The sequence below is a fragment of the Homo sapiens genome, chromosome 11 (assembly GCF_000001405.40).
Source record: "Homo sapiens chromosome 11, GRCh38.p14 Primary Assembly".
NCBI classification, from domain to species: domain Eukaryota; kingdom Metazoa; phylum Chordata; class Mammalia; order Primates; family Hominidae; genus Homo; species Homo sapiens.
Genome location: NC_000011.10, coordinates 19,223,199 through 19,241,829, shown reverse-complemented (window position 1 = coordinate 19,241,829; position 18,631 = coordinate 19,223,199). Strand labels below are relative to the sequence as shown.

The 18,631-nt window shown below is 42.3% G+C and overlaps 1 protein-coding gene and 1 long non-coding RNA gene across 10 annotated transcripts in view, besides 2 other annotated features; one reads left to right on the top strand and one right to left on the bottom strand.

The window, feature by feature from the left end:
• CSRP3-AS1 (CSRP3 and E2F8 antisense RNA 1) overlaps window positions 1-18,631 on the bottom strand; it is a 116,546-nt gene that overhangs the window by 71,429 nt on the left and 26,486 nt on the right. For 2 of the 3 annotated variants that reach the window (NR_183672.1, NR_183673.1), the window contains exon 1: window positions 305-565. The exons of the other annotated variant lie outside the window; for it this stretch is intronic. This is a non-coding gene — a long non-coding RNA (CSRP3 and E2F8 antisense RNA 1). Of the gene's footprint in view, window positions 1-304; window positions 566-18,631 lie in introns of those variants that run through there. 3 annotated transcript variants of the gene reach the window in all.
• Window positions 116-815: a silencer, noted in NCBI's record as "silent region_3198". NCBI's record gives its function as "represses an Ori minimal core promoter by ATAC-STARR-seq in GM12878 lymphoblastoid cells {active_cell/tissue: GM12878}" and the evidence as "EXISTENCE:reporter gene assay evidence [ECO:0000049][PMID:35858748]".
• E2F8 (E2F transcription factor 8) lies at window positions 175-17,767 on the top strand. Of its 7 annotated transcripts, none has more exons than NM_001256372.1 (13): window positions 175-333; window positions 1,600-1,723; window positions 3,698-3,976; window positions 4,360-4,516; window positions 6,772-7,086; window positions 7,309-7,470; window positions 9,459-9,596; window positions 10,996-11,199; window positions 11,502-11,589; window positions 11,842-12,376; window positions 15,966-16,098; window positions 16,215-16,609; window positions 16,990-17,767. In NM_001256372.1, the coding sequence occupies exons 2-13, from the start codon at window positions 1,709-1,711 to the stop codon at window positions 17,170-17,172; spliced, it is 2,604 nt and encodes an 867-aa protein (NP_001243301.1). In that variant the 5' UTR covers window positions 175-333; window positions 1,600-1,708; the 3' UTR covers window positions 17,173-17,767. The 7 variants fall into 7 exon arrangements, with proteins under 7 accessions (NP_001243301.1, XP_047283552.1, NP_001243300.1 ...); NM_001256371.2 differs by having other exon boundaries at window positions 210-423; NM_024680.4 differs by lacking the exon at window positions 175-333 and adding an exon at window positions 885-1,282.
• Window positions 8,312-9,511: an enhancer, noted in NCBI's record as "MED14-independent group 3 enhancer chr11:19253866-19255065 (GRCh37/hg19 assembly coordinates)". NCBI's record gives its function as "activates an origin of replication core promoter dependent on BRD2, BRD4, P300/CBP and CDK7 cofactors, and independent of MED14, by STARR-seq in HCT116 cells {active_cell/tissue: HCT116}" and the evidence as "EXISTENCE:reporter gene assay evidence [ECO:0000049][PMID:35650434]".

Genomic DNA, 18,631 nt, shown 5'->3' with positions numbered 1-18,631 from the left:
AAAAAAGGAAAAAAAAGTTGCTGAACTTTTCCCCCAACTCTGCCGTAGAGGCGGGAGTGGAGGGCGGTGCCTGCACCGATTCGCCGGCGGCTACGGTCGGGAGGCTCGGATTGGCGCTCGGGGGCCGGGGCCGGGGCGAGCGGGCGTGGGGGAGGGGAGCGGCCCTCCCCGCCCGCGGTATCGGCTCGCGCCGGGAGCGGGTTAATTTCAAATCGGGGGCTTGGCTGCTCCTGGACGGTCACGCTCCCTCTGCCCGCCAGCCGGCCCGCCAGTCCCGGTCCCGGCGTCTCTCTCCGGCACCCACCTCGGCGCTGCGGAAAGACTGACTGCCAGGTACGCGGGCTCCCGGGCCTGAGAGGGGCAGCGGTGCTGACGAGTCCCGGCTCAGCCCCCGCCGGCTCCCGCCGTGAGGTGGACTGACAGGTCAGCGGGACGCAGAGGGGCGCGGCGCCCGGGCGACACGGCACCGGGAGAGGGCTCGGGAGGGTGGCGGCGGCGGCGGCGGCGGCCGTTTCCCGCCTCCCGCTTCGCCGGGGGCCGTGAGGGAGGAGCTGAGCTCCCGCGCAGAGGGGCGGGGGCGAACGAGGGGGAGGGGCGGGGTTGCCGTGGTTCCGGGCGCGGGTTTGCCCGCGCTCAGGCCCCGCGCAGCTAAGGGGAGGCGCCGGCCACGGTCCGACTTTCCGCGCCAAATTTTTAAATCGAAGGCGGAAGGTCCGGCCCCGCCCCTGGCGCCGTCGGCCAATCGCAGGCCCGCTTCCGGCCCTCTGATTGGTCGGGAATTGTTGTCCTGGAAACCACGATGATGCTGTCCGGGAACTGTCGGGACTGCGGCGGGCGGACAGGGCCTGGGGGAGGGGCCTTTGGCCGAAAGTTGGGGGAAGTGCACTGAGCGAGTGGCGGCCGGGGGACAGTACCTGCTTGCCTTATTGGGCAAATACAGCCTTCCAAGGTGGAGTCTAACGCCGTGGTGTGAACTGGCCACCCGAACAGGGAGTAAATAGTGCTTTGTATCTTTAAGGAAGCCCTTTTTTAAATTTAAAAAAAAAGTCTTAATTATAAGACTCTTTAAATGCCCAACTGCATACTTGGAGCTTTGGGACTGAATTTGGAACTTTCCTGTCAAGCGACCTCCCACGACTTTACTGCTGAGCCTGTGCACGTGTGTGTAAGGGGAGAAATCCAGGCATCTAGATGCAGACTTGTACCCAGTTACTTGGGGTCGCGTGCGCTCAGCTGGGACCTGGGCTCGTGCGCTTAGTCCGGAGCCCTGATCTGCGAACAGGTGGGTGCTTCCTAAAGTATTCGCTGGGGTCCGGAGAATGGCTCGCCTTTTCTACAGATGGGAGAGGGCTGTCACTAGAAATTCCGTGGGTTGCTTGAAGTCTTAGGACCGCCGATCCGTTTGCTGAAGGAATTTACTGGCATTTGTTGGCGTTCTCCGCTCAGTGGGGCGATCTCTGGTCGAGAATAAAATGTAAATCTAGTTTGTCATTTTTCGTTAGGCTTTGTTTCCGTAGCCTCTTGTCCGTGAAGGAATTTTCAACAGATCTTTTGGTTCTTGTTTTTCTCTAACTTTTTCTATTTCCTTTTTTCTTTAAGGATATTAAAACTTTTAGTACAATTGATTGGACTACTTGAACCATCGGGATTTGGGGAGGAACTCCAGATTTTTCATTTTTAAACTCTAAATGTATGAGGAATTTACAGAATGGAGAACGAAAAGGTACTTTATAACTTCAGTATTCATCATTGCAATTTTAAATTCAGTATCATCCTGATTTAACTCCATAATTTTTCCCTATCCAATGTGTTTTCTTAATGCCACAACCTTGGTTAGCCTCTGTAAAGACCTGGAAAAAATGAACCTTATCTTATAGTTTCAAAAATATATAGTTTAAAATATATACTAATTTAATTAATATAGTTTAAAAAATGAAAATTATCTTAAAAAGAAATTCAGTCTCCAATCATGTCAAATGCCCTTTCTGAATTCCAGTTGTTCAAGAATCCTCAGAAATGTTGTAATGAAACTAACAAATTTTATTATTCTTAAAAATACCTTTTCTCTCTTTATGTCTGAGACAGCTACCAAATCATTAAAAACTAGAAAGAGTGTAAAGGGGCAAACCTACCCCTCTTCAAAAATTCGTTAGTTTCATTACAACATTTCTGAGGATTCTTGAACAACTTGGAATTCAGAAAGGGCATTTGACATGTTTGGAGACTGAATTTCTTTTTAAGATAATTTTTTACCAAATTGGCAGCTTATTTATGGGGTCTGCAAAATGCTCTGTTTAGGGGGCAAACATTTTGTAAAATTACAAAAGAATTGTCTGTGGGGGGTGTCCAACTACTAATAGGTTTAAAAAAGTGAACTTACATGCATATTTCCTAATAGTTTTAGATGTTAGTCAAATAAGAGAATTACTATTGCTTCTGATAATCTGAGGCAAAGAAAAAGCCTATTGTCAGATCAGTACATCTCAGATGCACACACTGGCAAGGAGCTCCTGTTGGGTCCACCATACTGACTTCCATGTAAGAAGAGCACCATACTTGGAGTGAAAATATCTGTGTTCCACTCCTACGTGACCTCTCTCAGCCTGCATCTTCTCTTCTGCGAGCTAAGAATGCAGGATTCCATGAACATACAAACGGAAATGCACTTGATAAACCCAAGATGTCACAACATGTCCCATTTGTCCATGTTCTTAAAGTTATTTGGTCTGCCTATTATTTTACTTATTGCTGTTCCAAGCATTTTCTTTAAAATAGATAAAGATGGGAGTAGTGTGTGAAGTCCCTGGTGTCCAAAACTGGAAGGAACATAGTCTCCATTAGCCTTATTTATGAACTGCTGTTAATTTACCCTTTTGTCTCAGTGGCTATCCTGCTTCTGCCAGGATCTAGCTTTGTGGTCTTAGGTAGCTGTTAGGTTGATGCAAACATAATTGCTGTTTTTGCCATTACTTTCAGTAGCAAAAGCCACAATTACTTTTGCACCAACCTAATCATTTTACTTCTCTGGGCCCCATTTTCTCTATCTGTAAAATGAGGGAGTGGATGTTCAAAGAGCAGACTTTTCTGGTCAGAAATCCTGCTGTTGGACACTCTAGATTTCCCTGATAAATCTGACCATATGCTATCCCTCACTCTTGTCTCCTTGTCTCTCTGACTCTTCAGTGGTATTTTATTTAGCACCCACTGCATGCAGCCATTATGCTAGGTGGATAAGAATTTCTGCCCTGTAGGCCTTTACTTATTACAGTGCCATGAGTAAACAAAAGTCATTTCTAGAAGTTTGATCATTTAACATTGTCAGTCCAATTAGGGGAAGCTGAGTGAAGGGCATTTGGGAACTCTATACTGTCTTTGCTTCTCTTCTCTAAATCTAAAACTATTTCAAAATACAATTAAAATTATAAGTCCTAACTAAAGTTGTTTTTTCAGTGGTTGAAACATAAGGTGAAAACATTTATGGCTTATTGCAAAATTAAAAATGGGAAATGTAATTATTAGAATTGACAATACACATCACATGACCATTAGAATACAGTTATTAATTTCCTCAACTCTACAATCTCATTAGACATTTTTTCCTTGGCATGATTCTATTCGTTATGCAATTTCTAGAATCCAAGCTGTCTGATAAATCCTGTTTTACCATGGATTTAATTATTTACATTTTTTAAACCAGGAAAATCTCTTTTGTGAGCCACATAAAAGGGGACTAATGAAAACACCTCTGAAAGAATCCACCACAGCAAATATCGTGTTGGCAGAGATCCAGCCTGACTTTGGCCCTTTAACCACACCTACCAAGCCCAAGGAAGGCTCTCAGGGAGAGCCGTGGACACCGACAGCCAACCTGAAAATGCTCATCAGTGCTGTGAGCCCTGAGATCCGCAACAGAGATCAGAAAAGGGGTTTGTTTGACAACAGAAGTGGATTACCTGAGGCCAAAGACTGTATACACGTAGGTTTTCAGAGGACTGGTTGGAGGCTGGGGAATTTGTTGGGGGGAGGGGGGAGGTTGTAGCTATTAGAGAAGTGCCAGCAATTTAAAGCATCACCACCCGAAGGCTGTTATTAACTTCCTTCGGAGCACCAGAAAGGTTTGGACCCCAAGAAATATAGCTCTGGGAATTCTGAACCTTTGCGTTATTTTCGTTTCAGGCTTTCCTTTCAGGTTTGCCAAGCATTTTGTACTGGCCCCCCTAACCTTTTCTCCCATCCAGACTTTGCAGCTGTTGAAGCTAAGCGTGTGTAAGTTGGTGTCAGTCATCGAGCACAGATGCCCCTAATAAATCTGTCAGACTTTATTTTAGAATAAGACATTGTTTACCTTTTCCTTTGTAGGAACACTTATCTGGAGATGAATTTGAGAAATCCCAACCAAGTCGAAAAGAGAAAAGTTTAGGATTATTGTGTCATAAGTTCTTAGCACGATATCCTAATTATCCCAACCCTGCTGTGAATAATGACATCTGCCTTGACGAAGTGGCAGAGGAACTTAGTAAGTATGCAAAGAACTCACTGAAAGAATTAATAATTAAAGTGGCTTTATGGACTTAACTCCTTCAGACCCCCGCTCATCTAGCCAGTGTTTGTAAATGACACAAATAAGCCGGCATGGAAATTTTCTATCTCTAAAGCCCTCTTCTAATATAAGAATGAAGGTAAGTAGTTGCAAATTTCAGCAAATCTTGGAGGCAGAAAAGTCACAATGGAGGTTGCTTCTGACTACAGTTGTCTCTGAAGCTTTAAAGAAAGGCAATATTGTCTCATGACTTGTTTCACAAAGTTACAACTGTGAACTTTTGCTTCATTGCTCTCCCTTGCTGTTCTTGAAGAATCAGGCTGATAAATGGTTATCTTCCTAGTTGACGCTGAGGATCAGCTTCTGTGAGTGGGAACAGGACCTGTGCACTCCTGGACCTTCAGCACTATTCTGAGGACTAGTTTTCTGAATGTTTTGTGTTGGGCACAAGTTATTCCTCCTGCCCCTTTTTACTCTGTTCAAAGACCTGAATCTATTTGGAGCTAAAAAGGGGCCCGTGGTGAATTTGGGGTACCTTTGGAGTCATGTGGGTATCTTAATTTAAACCTGTGAAGTGATGTGCTGTGCAAGATAATACATTTTAATACAAAGCAATCACCCCGTGAAGAAAAGTTGCCCTTCTAATACATGTTTGTAAATATCAACTTTATTTCACATTTTAAGAATATACCGTTTAGATTCATCTACTTTTCATATATGCTTAATGGTAGCTGGGTAGGATATTCAGCAAATATCTATTAATCTTCTACTACTATGTGTCAGGCAATGTTGTAGGAGCCTGGGATACATCCGTAAACAAAAAGGGCAAAATCTCTTCTCTCTTAGAACCTATATTCTAGTGGGGCAATAGATACTGAGTAAAGGATATAGGAAGTAAGTAAGGATAATACATGCTAGAAGGTAACATGCATAGTGGAAAAAATAAATTGTAGATCAGGATCAAGGGATCAGGAGTGCTGGGGAGGTGCTTTGCCATAAGTGGTCAGATCAGGCTTCGTTGAGAAGGTGACATCTGGGCAAGGACTTGAAAGAAGCAAGGTAGGGAGCTGTAAGGACATCAGGGAGAAGGGTTCCAGGCAGAAGGAACAGCCGGTACAAAGCAAGTGCATATCTGGCAGGTTCCAGGGACAGCAAGAGGTCGGTAGGATGCACCCTTATTAAAATAGTGTTTTATTGATCACTTTTCCAGAAAGGCTGATCTCATCAAATATTTAAATTGAAATTAAGTTTCTTGAACGAAGAGAATTCTAACATTACAGAATATTGAAAACCCAATTTAAATAGATAGAGTCACAGAATTACTAATATCATATTGTTAATGATAGCTAGAAAGTAAGCAAAATTAGACCCAAAAAGGCATATTTTATTTTTATGTAAGTTTTTAAAAACTACATCATGGTTTTTGTACTTTTCTGAAATCTCAGCATTTTGTTTCTATCTTATGATCATTACAGATGGGCGTGTGTGTACGTGTTTGTATTGGAAGCGGTTGGAAGGTGTGAGATGTAGAGTTTTAAAGACTTGGTTTGCTACTTGCTAGCTCTTTTGGGGTGAGCTACTTAGCTGGTCTGAGCCTCTGTTTTCTCATCGTTTTTTTTTTTTGTTTGTTTGTTTGTTTTTGAGACGGAGTCTCGCTCTTTCGCCCAGGCTGGAGTGCTGTGGCGCGATCTAGGCTCACTGCAAGCTCCGCCTCCCGGGTTCACACCATTCTCCTGCCTCAGCCTCCTGAGTAGCTGGGACTACAGGCACCCGCCACCACACCCGGCTAATTTTTTTGTATTTTTAGTAGAGACTGGGTTTCACCATGTTAGCCAGGATGGTCTCCATCTCCTGACCTCGTGATCCGCCCTCCTCGGCCTCCCAAGGTGCTGGGATTACAGGTGTGAGCCACCGCACCCGGCCTTTCTCATCCTTTTTAAAGTGCAGATCATAATACCTACTTCACAAGTTTAGGGTGAAAACTTCCTAAAGCTGTGTAGCACAACTTAGGCCCTCATTAAATGTTGCCTTTCTAATTCATATGATTTGTGCCCTTGGAAAGCAAGCACATGTCTTTCTCACCTTCACAGTATTTGTTGAGTATGTTCACTTACAGTTAGGAAAGTGATATTATCCAAGACCTACTGACTAATAAACCAATGGAAGAAAAAGCTATTCAATTCTAAACACGTTACAAAAATCTGTAACACACAATTGCACATTCTTTGTAGATGTTGAACGTCGACGCATTTACGATATCGTGAACGTCCTAGAGAGTTTACATATGGTGAGCCGCCTCGCCAAAAACAGGTACACTTGGCACGGGCGACACAATCTCAACAAAACCCTTGGCACCTTGAAGAGCATCGGGGAGGAGAATAAGTACGCCGAGCAGATTATGATGATCAAAAAGAAAGAATATGAGCAAGAGTTTGACTTTATTAAGAGTTACAGTATAGAGGATCATATCATCAAATCAAACACTGGCCCAAATGGACACCCAGACATGTGTTTTGTGGAACTCCCTGGAGTGGAATTTCGGGCAGGTGAGAGATGGTAGTGAAAACTCCAGGCGGCATGGCATTTGTCCTCTGTCTAAGGAAAAGGTTCTGTGGAGAACACAGCTCTAAAGCTACTGCTGCCTTTAATGTTCAGATGCCACAGTTGTCAGCTGTATGATCAGGTGGTAGTATTTTTAGCCTTGTTACTTTAGAAGTCACTTGTCCCTTTATGAATTTTAATTCTCTAATCCTCATCCTTCTCTAAAGCTTCTGTAAACAGCCGCAAAGACAAGTCTTTAAGGGTAATGAGCCAGAAATTTGTGATGCTGTTTTTGGTGTCAACGCCTCAGATAGTAAGCCTAGAAGTTGCTGCCAAGATTTTAATTGGGGAGGACCATGTGGAAGATTTGGATAAAAGCAAGTTTAAAAGTAAGTGTCATGACTGCCATGGATTTTTGAACCTATTCTTAAACAATAAAATCTCAGTCGTAAACTCATTTCCAAATTAGGAAACATAGGTGCATAAACAGATCTTCTCTAATTATGTTTTTATATCTTCTCCCCAGAAGCCATGATAATATTGATTTAGCTAACTTGTTATGATACATAAGTATCACTACTCTTTTTTTTTTTTTTTTTTTTTAGACGGAGTCTAGCTCTTTTGCTAGGCTGGAGTGCAGTGGCGAGATCTAGGCTCACTGCAACATCTGCCTCCCGGGTTCCAGCAATTCTCCTGCCTCAGTCTCCGGAGTAGCTGGGATTACAGTTGCGCGCCACCACACCCGGCTAATTTTTATATTTTTAGTGGAGACGGGGTTTCACCATGTTGGCCAGGAGGATCTCGATCTCTTGACCTCGTGATCCACCCACCTCGGCCTCCCAAATTTTGGGAGGCCTCCCAAAATTACAGGCCTGAGCCACTGCGCCTGGCCAAGTATCACTACTCTTATTTGACACATTGCTTCATTTGATATTGTAACATTGTTCTCAAAAGTAAACACGGCCAGGCGCGGTGGCTGAAGCCTGTAATCTCAGCACTTTGGGAGGCCGAGGAGGGCGGATCATGAGGTCAGGAGATCCAGACCAACCTGGCTAACACAGTGAAACCCCGTCTCTACTAAAAATACAAAAAAATTAGCCGGGCGTGGTGGCGTGCACCTGTAGTCCCAGTTACTCAGGAGGCTGAGGCAGGAGAATGGCGTGAACCTGGGAGGCGGCGCTTGCAGTGAGCCGAGATCGCGCCACTGCACTCCAGCCTGGGGGACAGAGCAAGACTCTGTCTCAAAAAAAAGGAAACACTAGAAGAATCTGTTCTGTGTGAGCTCTAAATGAGAGTAAATTGTAAAGTGGGTCTGCACCCTGGTCTCCTTCCACTGATGCTGATTACAGAGGGTTTATAAATGACTCATAAAATTGTCCCCAGAAGTGACCTGCAGCACAGGTAGTCTGCCATTTTGAAAGAATGGTTTTAGCTAGATTACCTGCTCAAAATTGGGAAGGGACTGTAGATTGGATTCCTAACAAAAGAGCTATGCCCTCACCATTACACCAGACTTTGCAGGAAGGGTGTGGAAAGAAGTGCTCAGCGGATGGGGAGGAGCACTTGGCTCGGGAGATCGGGAGATCTGCAATTTCAGAAAACACGTCCTGATACTACTGAGGGGTTACTTGCCTTTTGTGAGTCACCGGATAGTTTTCATCTTTGTTTCACTGGTTAGTCATAGCCTTGAAAACTATTCCAGGAACTGCAGAGGTGTAAGTTACTGAATCCCCAGGGAATTCAGAACCTTCTGATATGGCTAGGAAGGAGACTCGATTTGTAATTTGTACTATCAAGATGGCAGTAAAAAACAGACTTTTTGTAACAAAACTCTTTAAGATATGTGAGGTTTGTCAAGTTCACAGATCTATGTTTTGCATGTTACATAGACAGTATTAAAAAATTACACATGTTGATGGAGTACAGAATTTTCCATGCTGCCATAGTAAATAAATTTTGTTATAAGCTATTACAAGCAGAAAAGCAAGACATTTATCACAGATACTTTTACTTCTCTGCTCATAAAATTCTTCTGAATCCTCATTAGAAGATACCCAGGAATGGTGACTTTATTTTTGAAACAGTCTGTAACATAGTTTCAGATAGGGTGATCTCATCAAGTCGTTTTTCCTTTGTCAACGTATGCTATTGTCATTTCAACATTGAGTACTAGCAGTAATTGAGTCTTTTAAATATTTAAAACTTTTTTATCTTAATTAAAGTTGTATCACCAGAAGAACTTAAAAGGAGGCAGATGTTTCTCTGTCTGACATTGATGGTTAAGACAGCTCTTAGAATATACATGAAGTCCTTCTGAAGGAAAATTCTTTGATCTTTTCATTATTCCATTAAGTGGTATATATACTTTTTTTCCCAGCAAAAATTAGGAGGTTGTATGATATAGCTAATGTTCTGAGTAGCCTGGATCTTATCAAGAAAGTTCATGTTACAGAGGAAAGAGGCCGAAAACCAGCTTTCAAATGGACCGGCCCAGAAATCAGTCCAAATACCAGTGGTATGTATTTTTTTCTTTCACCCTCTGCTTTATTATTTGTGTGTGTGTTTTTCTAATTTTTAATTTCCAGTGTGTGTTGTTCCCCTCCCTGTGTCCATGTGTTCTCATTGTTCAACTCCCACTTACGAGTGAGAACATGCAGTGTTTGATTTTCTATTCCTATGTTAGTTTGCTGAGGATGATGGCTTCCAGCTCCATCCGTGTCCCACAGAGGACATGATCTCATTTCTTTTTATGGCTGCATAGTATTCCATGGTGTATATGTACCACATTTTCTTTATCCTGCTTTATTATTTTGAATTAATGCACATTGGGAGATATTTTCCCTTCCCCTTCCTACTCACCGCCCCACATGGAAAAGATATATATGATTGAAAAGATGATTCAAGATGAATGGCAATATAGAAAGTTTGGCTACTGGCTCCATCAGCTAACCAAGATCCATAACAACCTCCCACCCTGTGTTCAAGAAGTACAATCTGTATGTGAAAGCATTCGGAAAGTTGAAAGCACCACAAAGCATAAAACACTATTGCTGCTATGCGGCACAGTGACCACAACAGAACCTGTGCCCATTGAGAATATGAAATGAGTTCACTCTGGTATCAAAGTAGATATTTCTAGCCTTCATCTTAACTCTGCGATGCTGACATTTTGCATTCTACCAAAGATCCCCACCCAGAATCATTGAAAATGACAAGAACGTGGGCCATGAAGACAGAGGGAAACTTAGGTTCCATTCCAAGCCCTGCCACTCTGGCTTTGCGGCCTGAGACAAGCTACTTCTTCGAGGATTAGTTTTCTCCTTGGTGAAATGGGAAGAACAATGGCACCTCAGTGGAGTTACTGTGATTTTGGTATAATCTCAGAGAGAGGTCCTTTCGTGCAGGAATTTGGAGTGAAAATTCCGGGGCCATATTGACCAGGTTCATATCCCAGGCCCACATGCTCCCAGTTGAGAGACCTTGAGCCAGTAGGTTAATGTCTGTGTGGGTCAGAGCTCTCATCTCCGACACAGGGCTGCATTTCTTGAGGAACAGTTACCTCATGGAGCTGTGAGGATCACCCATATTTCATCAGATCTAAGACTTCACTGATTGTAAGATGCACAATTCTTTCTATATCACTAAGAAAGAAAAATCACTAATAACTACACTCTAGCACACCACTGGTTATAAGATATAGTGCAGTTTCAGAAATGCTAATGTAGGAAATATTGTGTCTCAGAATCCATTTAATAAGATAAACAAGGCTTTCTCTGTAAAGCCCTTAGAACAGTGACAGGCACATGGTCGGTGCTCTGTAACTTGCCACTTTTATTCCTAAAATTGTTTTATTTCATATCCCAAAAGCCAACTGAGCCATCCAGGTTTTAATACACAGACGTTTTCTGTTTCAGGCTCCAGCCCAGTCATTCATTTTACTCCCTCTGATTTGGAGGTGAGACGGTCTTCAAAAGAGAACTGTGCCAAAAACCTCTTTTCCACACGTGGGAAACCAAACTTTACTCGACACCCATCTCTTATCAAATTGGTAAAGAGTATAGAAAGTGATCGGAGAAAGATAAATTCTGCGCCCAGTAGCCCTATCAAGACCAACAAAGGTATGTTTTCAGGAATGTCAGGGATCTGCTAGGAAGAATTCCCTTTTATCTCATTTTTTCAGCTTACTTGATCCTTGCAATAGTTGTCAGAGAATTATTTCAATATCTATATACCCAAACCCTCTTGAAGCCTAACTAATGTATAAATTTAAAAAGTCATTTGTGGGGTTTATTGTTTAATCGCTATGCAACTTTGAGGGGAGGTGCACACTTTCTGTTCCTCTGACTTCAGTGAGGTTTCATCTGTGTGAACATTTGTTCTTTAGCTTTGACCGGTGCTCTCTTCCTTTCTATTTTACCAGCTGAGAGTTCTCAGAATTCTGCACCCTTCCCAAGTAAAATGGCTCAGCTCGCAGCTATTTGTAAAATGCAGTTAGAAGAGCAATCAAGGTAGGTTGGCAATCCTCTTTAATAACAGGATGAATTACTTTTACATTACATTGTTAGGATTACTTATTTTATGTGAGAAGAAGCCCTAGCCTTGAACTGGAGAGCTAATCTTTTCTGTATCTCATACTCACTCATTACAGAAATTATCTGCATGTTCCATAAAAGCGTGGCTTCAATATGAGGCTTAAAGCGGTAGAACAGTTCAGAAAAAATGTATATCCATCATGTCGTGTATTAAATCTTGTCTTTCAGTGAATCCAGACAGAAAGTGAAAGTACAGCTGGCAAGATCTGGACCCTGCAAACCAGTAGCCCCTCTGGACCCCCCAGTGAATGCTGAGATGGAGCTGACAGCACCGTCCCTCATCCAGCCCCTGGGAATGGTTCCCCTGATCCCCAGCCCCTTGTCATCAGCAGTGCCCCTGATCCTACCTCAGGCCCCTTCAGGCCCATCCTATGCCATCTACCTGCAGCCCACTCAAGCCCACCAAAGTGTGACGCCACCCCAAGGCCTGAGCCCAACGGTGTGCACCACCCACTCTTCTAAAGCTACTGGCTCAAAAGACTCCACAGATGCCACCACTGAGAAGGCAGCCAATGATACCTCAAAGGCCAGTGCCTCTACCAGGCCTGGAAGCTTGCTGCCAGCACCAGAGAGGCAAGGGGCAAAGAGCCGAACCAGGGAGCCAGCTGGAGAAAGAGGCTCAAAGAGGGCAAGCATGCTCGAGGACAGTGGTTCCAAAAAGAAATTTAAAGAGGACCTAAAAGGACTTGAAAATGTCTCCGCAGTAAGTACAGCCTTGAACTGCACAAAGCTTTAGGAATTCCCTAGTCTATTACAGGAAGATTGGTGGCTTGTGAAATTTACCGAAGAGCATTCTCTCAGAAGACAAGGAACTGTTCCTTAGCATCCCATAATCCAAGTGAGGCCCTCAACAGCTAATCCCCTGGCTGGGATGAAGGCAGGGACATTTTTAACCTTTGGAGGAAGGGATTATTTGCTGTCTTTTTAAAGTACCATGGGTGGTTGTCCTTAAGTCCATTTCTCCATCACACACTGGAATGCAAACAGCTGTCATGAAAGTCTTAAATAATTTACAAGCAGACGTAACCCCAAATGAACGTGTGGATGCATAGGGTTCCTGTAACTCCTGCTTTCTGAGTCATTACCTAATGTTTGTTTGTTGTCATGTAACTGGCATCTGTTGCCTAGAAGATAAATTGCTCCCCGTTTTTACTTTCTACCTAAAATTTAAATCAAAATTTCTATTTCATGTAAATAGAAAAATCAAACTGATCTTGGCAAATTGTAGATATAGTTCATGTATTGGTTTCTAGAGATTTTGACATGCTAGACAAATTTTTTTCCTAAGTGGAGATTAGTTCCGGAGGGAATTAATATTTATTGGATGCCTACCCACATATAGCAGACATAATAGATATTAGTCACTTTTACATACAGTATCTCATTTTCCTCCCTTAGGACAATTATATATGAGAGACATTACTGTATCATCCGATAAATACCACTAAATGTGCAAGTAAAAGTTAATCTCTCATTTTGCCCCTGCTCTTAATACAAGCTATTTTACTTCTCTCTGTCTTATTTTTCCGCATCGGTAAAGAATTTATTCCACCAGTTTTTCCTCATCACCTACTGGATATAAAGCACTGTGCTCTGGATCAAATCTAACCCAGCACCTGCCTTTGGTGGCAATTGCTTTTGGGTACTTGCCTGTGGGCATATGATAGTTTTTGTGGGGTTAAGTGAATTTATTCCATGATGATACACATAAAAGGGTTTGATCCTTTTAAGACGTGTTATAAGCTGAAAGGTATTATCTGTTACGTTGTTATTAAAGAGGAAGCTTAGAGTTTGTCAAATCTTCCCTGAGGATGGCCTCATGGTAACCATTCAAAACATCTATTATCTTACATAGTATCCTTTTGTATTTAATGTATATGCCAAGTGGGAAATCATAAGGTTTCAATATTCTGGAAGGTCCATAACTTCTTTTGGCCAATGGGTATGATTTAATAATGGTCTCCTGTTGCTTACATAGTTATTCAGGATTAGGATTTTCAGTGGATAGATTTTCCATATACTCCTGCTTCTTTTTTATATCTCTGCAACTCTAACCATTTCTTTTTTCTTTTGAGACAGGGTCTTACTCTGTCACCCAGAATGGAGTGCAGTGGCATGATTTTAGCTCACTGCAGCCTCGACCTCCAAGGCTTAAGTGATCCTCCCACCTCAGTCTCCCAAGTAACTTAGACTACAGGTGTGCTGCCATGCCCGGCTAATTTTTTATTTTTTGTGGAGACGGGGTTTCACCATGTTGCTCAGCCTGGTCTCGAACTCCTGAGCTCAAGCAGTCTGCCTGCCTTGGCTTCCCAAAGTGCTGAGATCACAGGCATTTGCCGTCATGCCCAGCCCACTTTAACCATTTCGTTTTAGTATGGCCTGAGCAAAACAAAGACAATGAGAGAGTCATGTGTTAATTCATTCAACAAATTTTTACTGAGAATTTATACTTCTAGGGGTGGAAAGAAGATAAGTATGCAAGTAAACACAAACATATCAGGTAGTGAATGATAGGAATGAAGATGACATGATAGGAGGAAGGGGTGGAAGGGCTACTGTAGGCTAGAAGAGTTCAAGTTCAAATATGTCAGATTCATTCGGCAATTTAATAGTTCTAATTATTTTATAAAAAAGGGAATTGGCATAGGTTAAAAGATTCTATAATGAATATAGTTTGTTGGAAATTTAAAAATTATTATTCTATTATTGTGGGTTTTACTGAAGACTTGAAAGAGTTAAACCAGCAGTCAGAATAATTTGTACCATGAGAGAATATAACTAAAGCTAATAGAGCGCAGGTCTTCATAAAGCACCTAAATTTGCCCCTTAAAAATTCTCTCTTCCTGCAGTTTTCAAGGCACCTACTAGTAGAGATTTTGAGTGGGACCAAGTACTTAAGAAACAAAATTAAAAGCTTGTAGTATACTTTTAGCTTTGTGGATTCTGAATTTCCTGGTTCCCAAGGAAAAGACCTATTAACAACTAGATTAAACTTGTTTTGACAATGGAGAGAAGAAAGGTCTGAAGGAAGAAAAAAGGAGGTCCCTAGTTTATAAGAGCGGTTTTTAGCTTTTGCCAGTCCCGCTCATGGTAAGGCTAAAGCAGACTTTTCATGCAGTTCAGGCACCCGTGTAAACTTTTTCTGTTTGGGAAAGTACAGTGATCTAATAGGCATGTTGGGAGGTACATGCAACCCTACCCTTGGGCCTTTTCTAGTTGCAATATAACTTTATTGCCTAAAGCTTTTGCTCAATGGCATGTGCGTCTCTAATATGAATTAATCAGTTCTCTTATTTGTAATTTTTTTAACTCTGGTGTACTTTGCGTATTTTAAGACTGCTTGTTATCATTAGAGCAAGCAGTACTAGAAAGAAATCTTTACTTATATAATTTCTGTTTTAAATCAGGGGCCAGCAAACGTTCTTTAAAGGGCCAGATAGTAGACATTTTTTGGGTTTTAAGGCCATATGGGCTCTGTTGCACCTAGTCAACTCTGCCATTGTAGCAGGAAAGTTGCTATAGGCAGTACATAAATGAATGAGTATGATTGTGTTCCAATGAAACTTTATTTATAAAAACAGGCAGGGAGTGGGAATTGGCACATGGCCAATAGTTTAGCCCCCTTTCTCTAAATCAATGTCATTTAAAGTGTTTCCTTAGAATACTAGTCCTCCTTAATTGCCTACTGAAAATATAGTTGCCAAATAGTTTGGGAAATGCTACCTGCTGTGTGCCCCACTTGGAGAATTTTAAGGCATGCCACCATTAAAATCTCTTGGAAATTCTCTAATAAAGACACCATTTGACTTTGTTTAATTCAGTATTTTCCAATTATATTTGACCAAGAATCAGGTAATGCCTGTTTGCAACCCATGGACCTCAGGTCCCTCAGAATGCCCTTTGGGAAATACCGTTCTACATAATTCAAGAACAATCAATTACTACTACATCATACCAAGGAGTCCAGTAGCAAGAGTTAAGTTATCAGTTTAAGAGTGGTGTGCTGGATGAATCCTTACCCCTAAGCAGGGTCAGTGCCATCATCCAAAGGTGTCCTAAGACCACAGGTGGCATTTAAGAAACATGTTCTGCATTATTCGGGGCAAGCATTGGGAAGGGTGGGAGGGTATTCTCCTCTAGGAGCCAGGTGACCAGCCTGCCTGCAGCCCACTCCGCTGGAGGCTTTGGTCCAATGAGGCAACCACCAAGGGATATTAGTCCTGAAAGAGGCACGTGGCCATTTTTCTTCCTGTATTTGTGTGTAAAATAAACCCTTCCTCCTTGTTTTCTAGACCTTGTTCCCATCAGGATACCTAATCCCTCTCACGCAGTGCTCATCCCTGGGGGCAGAGTCCATTTTGTCTGGTAAAGAAAACTCAAGTGCTCTTTCCCCAAACCACAGGATTTACAGCTCCCCAATTGCAGGTGAGTGCACATAAAACACTAACCAGATGTGGGCCGGTCTCAAGTTCACTTAAGCCTTGTCAACTTCTTGGATAAATGCCTGTGCTTTTAAGATATCTTCCCCCTTTTCCTTCCAGGTGTTATTCCAGTGACATCATCTGAACTCACTGCTGTTAATTTTCCCTCTTTTCATGTAACACCGTTGAAGCTAATGGTCTCACCAACTTCCGTGGCAGCCGTACCTGTCGGGAACAGCCCGGCTCTCGCTTCAAGCCACCCTGTTCCCATCCAGAACCCAAGCTCAGCCATTGTAAACTTCACCCTGCAGCACCTGGGACTCATCTCACCCAATGTGCAGTTGTCTGCCAGCCCTGGGTCTGGAATCGTTCCTGTGTCTCCAAGAATAGAGTCTGTTAATGTCGCACCAGAAAATGCAGGCACTCAGCAAGGAAGGGCCACCAACTATGACTCACCAGTCCCAGGCCAGAGCCAGCCAAATGGACAATCAGTTGCTGTGACAGGGGCACAACAGGTGAGAGGCTTTCTACTTAATTTAATTTTTCCTGGAATTACTAAGCCCCAAGTATCTGTGTCATAAGAGATTGGCTTTTGCTTTTCCTCTTTGGAGAGGGAAAGGATGGGAAAGTCAGGAGATTGAAGGCCTATGTTTCTTCCAGAACCCAGGAAGAGTGTCCAAGGCATCCATATTGTTGGGTTATCATGAGATTTTTGTCTCTCCCCTAACAAAAATAATTGAGAATGTAAAACTCACCAAAGCTTCCCTCGCCAATTTCAAGATACGCCAGTTTCCCAATGTGCAATACATTCATCCAGCCCAATCTTCCAAGTCTGGTAAGACTATGTACCTGTGTGTGGTTGACTTCTTTTGTCCATTCTTCTCTTTCCAATCAGCCTGTTCCTGTGACACCCAAAGGGTCACAATTAGTGGCCGAAAGTTTCTTCCGTACCCCAGGTGGACCCACCAAGCCAACCAGCTCATCCTGCATGGATTTTGAGGGTGCTAATAAAACCTCCTTAGGAACTCTCTTTGTCCCACAGCGAAAACTGGAAGTCTCAACAGAGGATGTCCATTAATCAACAGATGTTGGCTTAGTTTAATTTTCTAAAGAGTTGTTTAATAGAGAAAATGTACACAGACTGATTTGGAGAACACATTCTCTGAAAATACTGTAAATACGTTGGGGATTTGTTCAATGTGAAATCAGATAGTTGTTTTCATACATATATATATATACACACACACACACACACACACACACACATATATTTGTATAAAGCTAAGTTTAGCTTTCAATCCTACAAAATAAAAGTAAAATGTTGAACTCTAAGATATATTAACTTCTAGGGGGAAAAATCCATTATTTTAGCTATGCCTATACTATTATGCAAAGTAACTGTATTAAAGTTTACTTCCCTCTAAGCAAATATGCTTGACATGCCTAACACAGCATTCCCTTAAACATTTTGCACAAAGAAAATGCTGTGTGATGTATAATGTTGTATTTTTAAATAGGGGTATAGCTATATTTTTTGTAATTTCTTTAATCTGTTGTTGCAGTGTATCTTTTTGTAAAGTTTGCAACAATCCTCAATCAAGTCTATGGAAAAATTATTTATAAAATGTATTTTTAATCATAAGTTGTTCAAATTAAAACTTTTCTAAAATATAGTTAGCATTTTCATTTCGCCGGTTAGGGCACTGTTGGGAGAAAATTAAAATTTACCTAATCACAGAGGCAAATTCTTAGTAAAGAGTATCCATGCTGGGTTCCATTAGATATGCAAAGTTTATAGAATGTTTCTACATTCTGTCCCCCATTTTGACCCTTGAGATTGCTCCACTTTTGCAGAAGTAAAATTGGCTTTGGAGAGGTTGTTGCTTGGCCAAGAACACCTAGCTAAGTCCCATGTGCTTCCTACCACACTCCACGAGATTAGAAATGAAAGGTAGGCGCCTAGGGGCCCTGGTGTGACCAGCATCTGTCCCACGCTTCCTGCTCTACTCAGAGGTGGGTCTGTACCAGCTCTCTTAACATACTTCTTGGATGGCCCAGCTCCAGGGACAGGAAAACGGCAGTAAGGATTCTAATGTCCTCCACACCTGGAGAACCCCCAGGAGCTCCAAGAGAAGGGACAAGTTCCAGTGTGTTAAGTGTGCATCTCTTTGACCCGTTTGTTATGGGAAGAACTGCACCTTGAGAATTGACAAGTGCTTTCCCTGGTTAGGGTCTTAAAGGAGCATCATAGTATCTATTTCCTACATGTTTACTATATGTAGACAGGGTTATACGTTTTAAATGTATCATATCTGTGAGCTACAACTGAGGCTCACAGGGATTAAAGCAACAAGTCCATGGTCACACTGCTAGTGTATGCAAGTCTCAGCTCATGTCTATTGGACCTCATTATCCATTGCCCATTTACTTCTAGAGACATGCCTAGCAGCTCTAGTAGGAATCAAGCACATTGATTCAGGGTAATCTGAGCATTAATAAAGTCAGCCCTTTCAAATACACATGTTTTGTTTGCACAA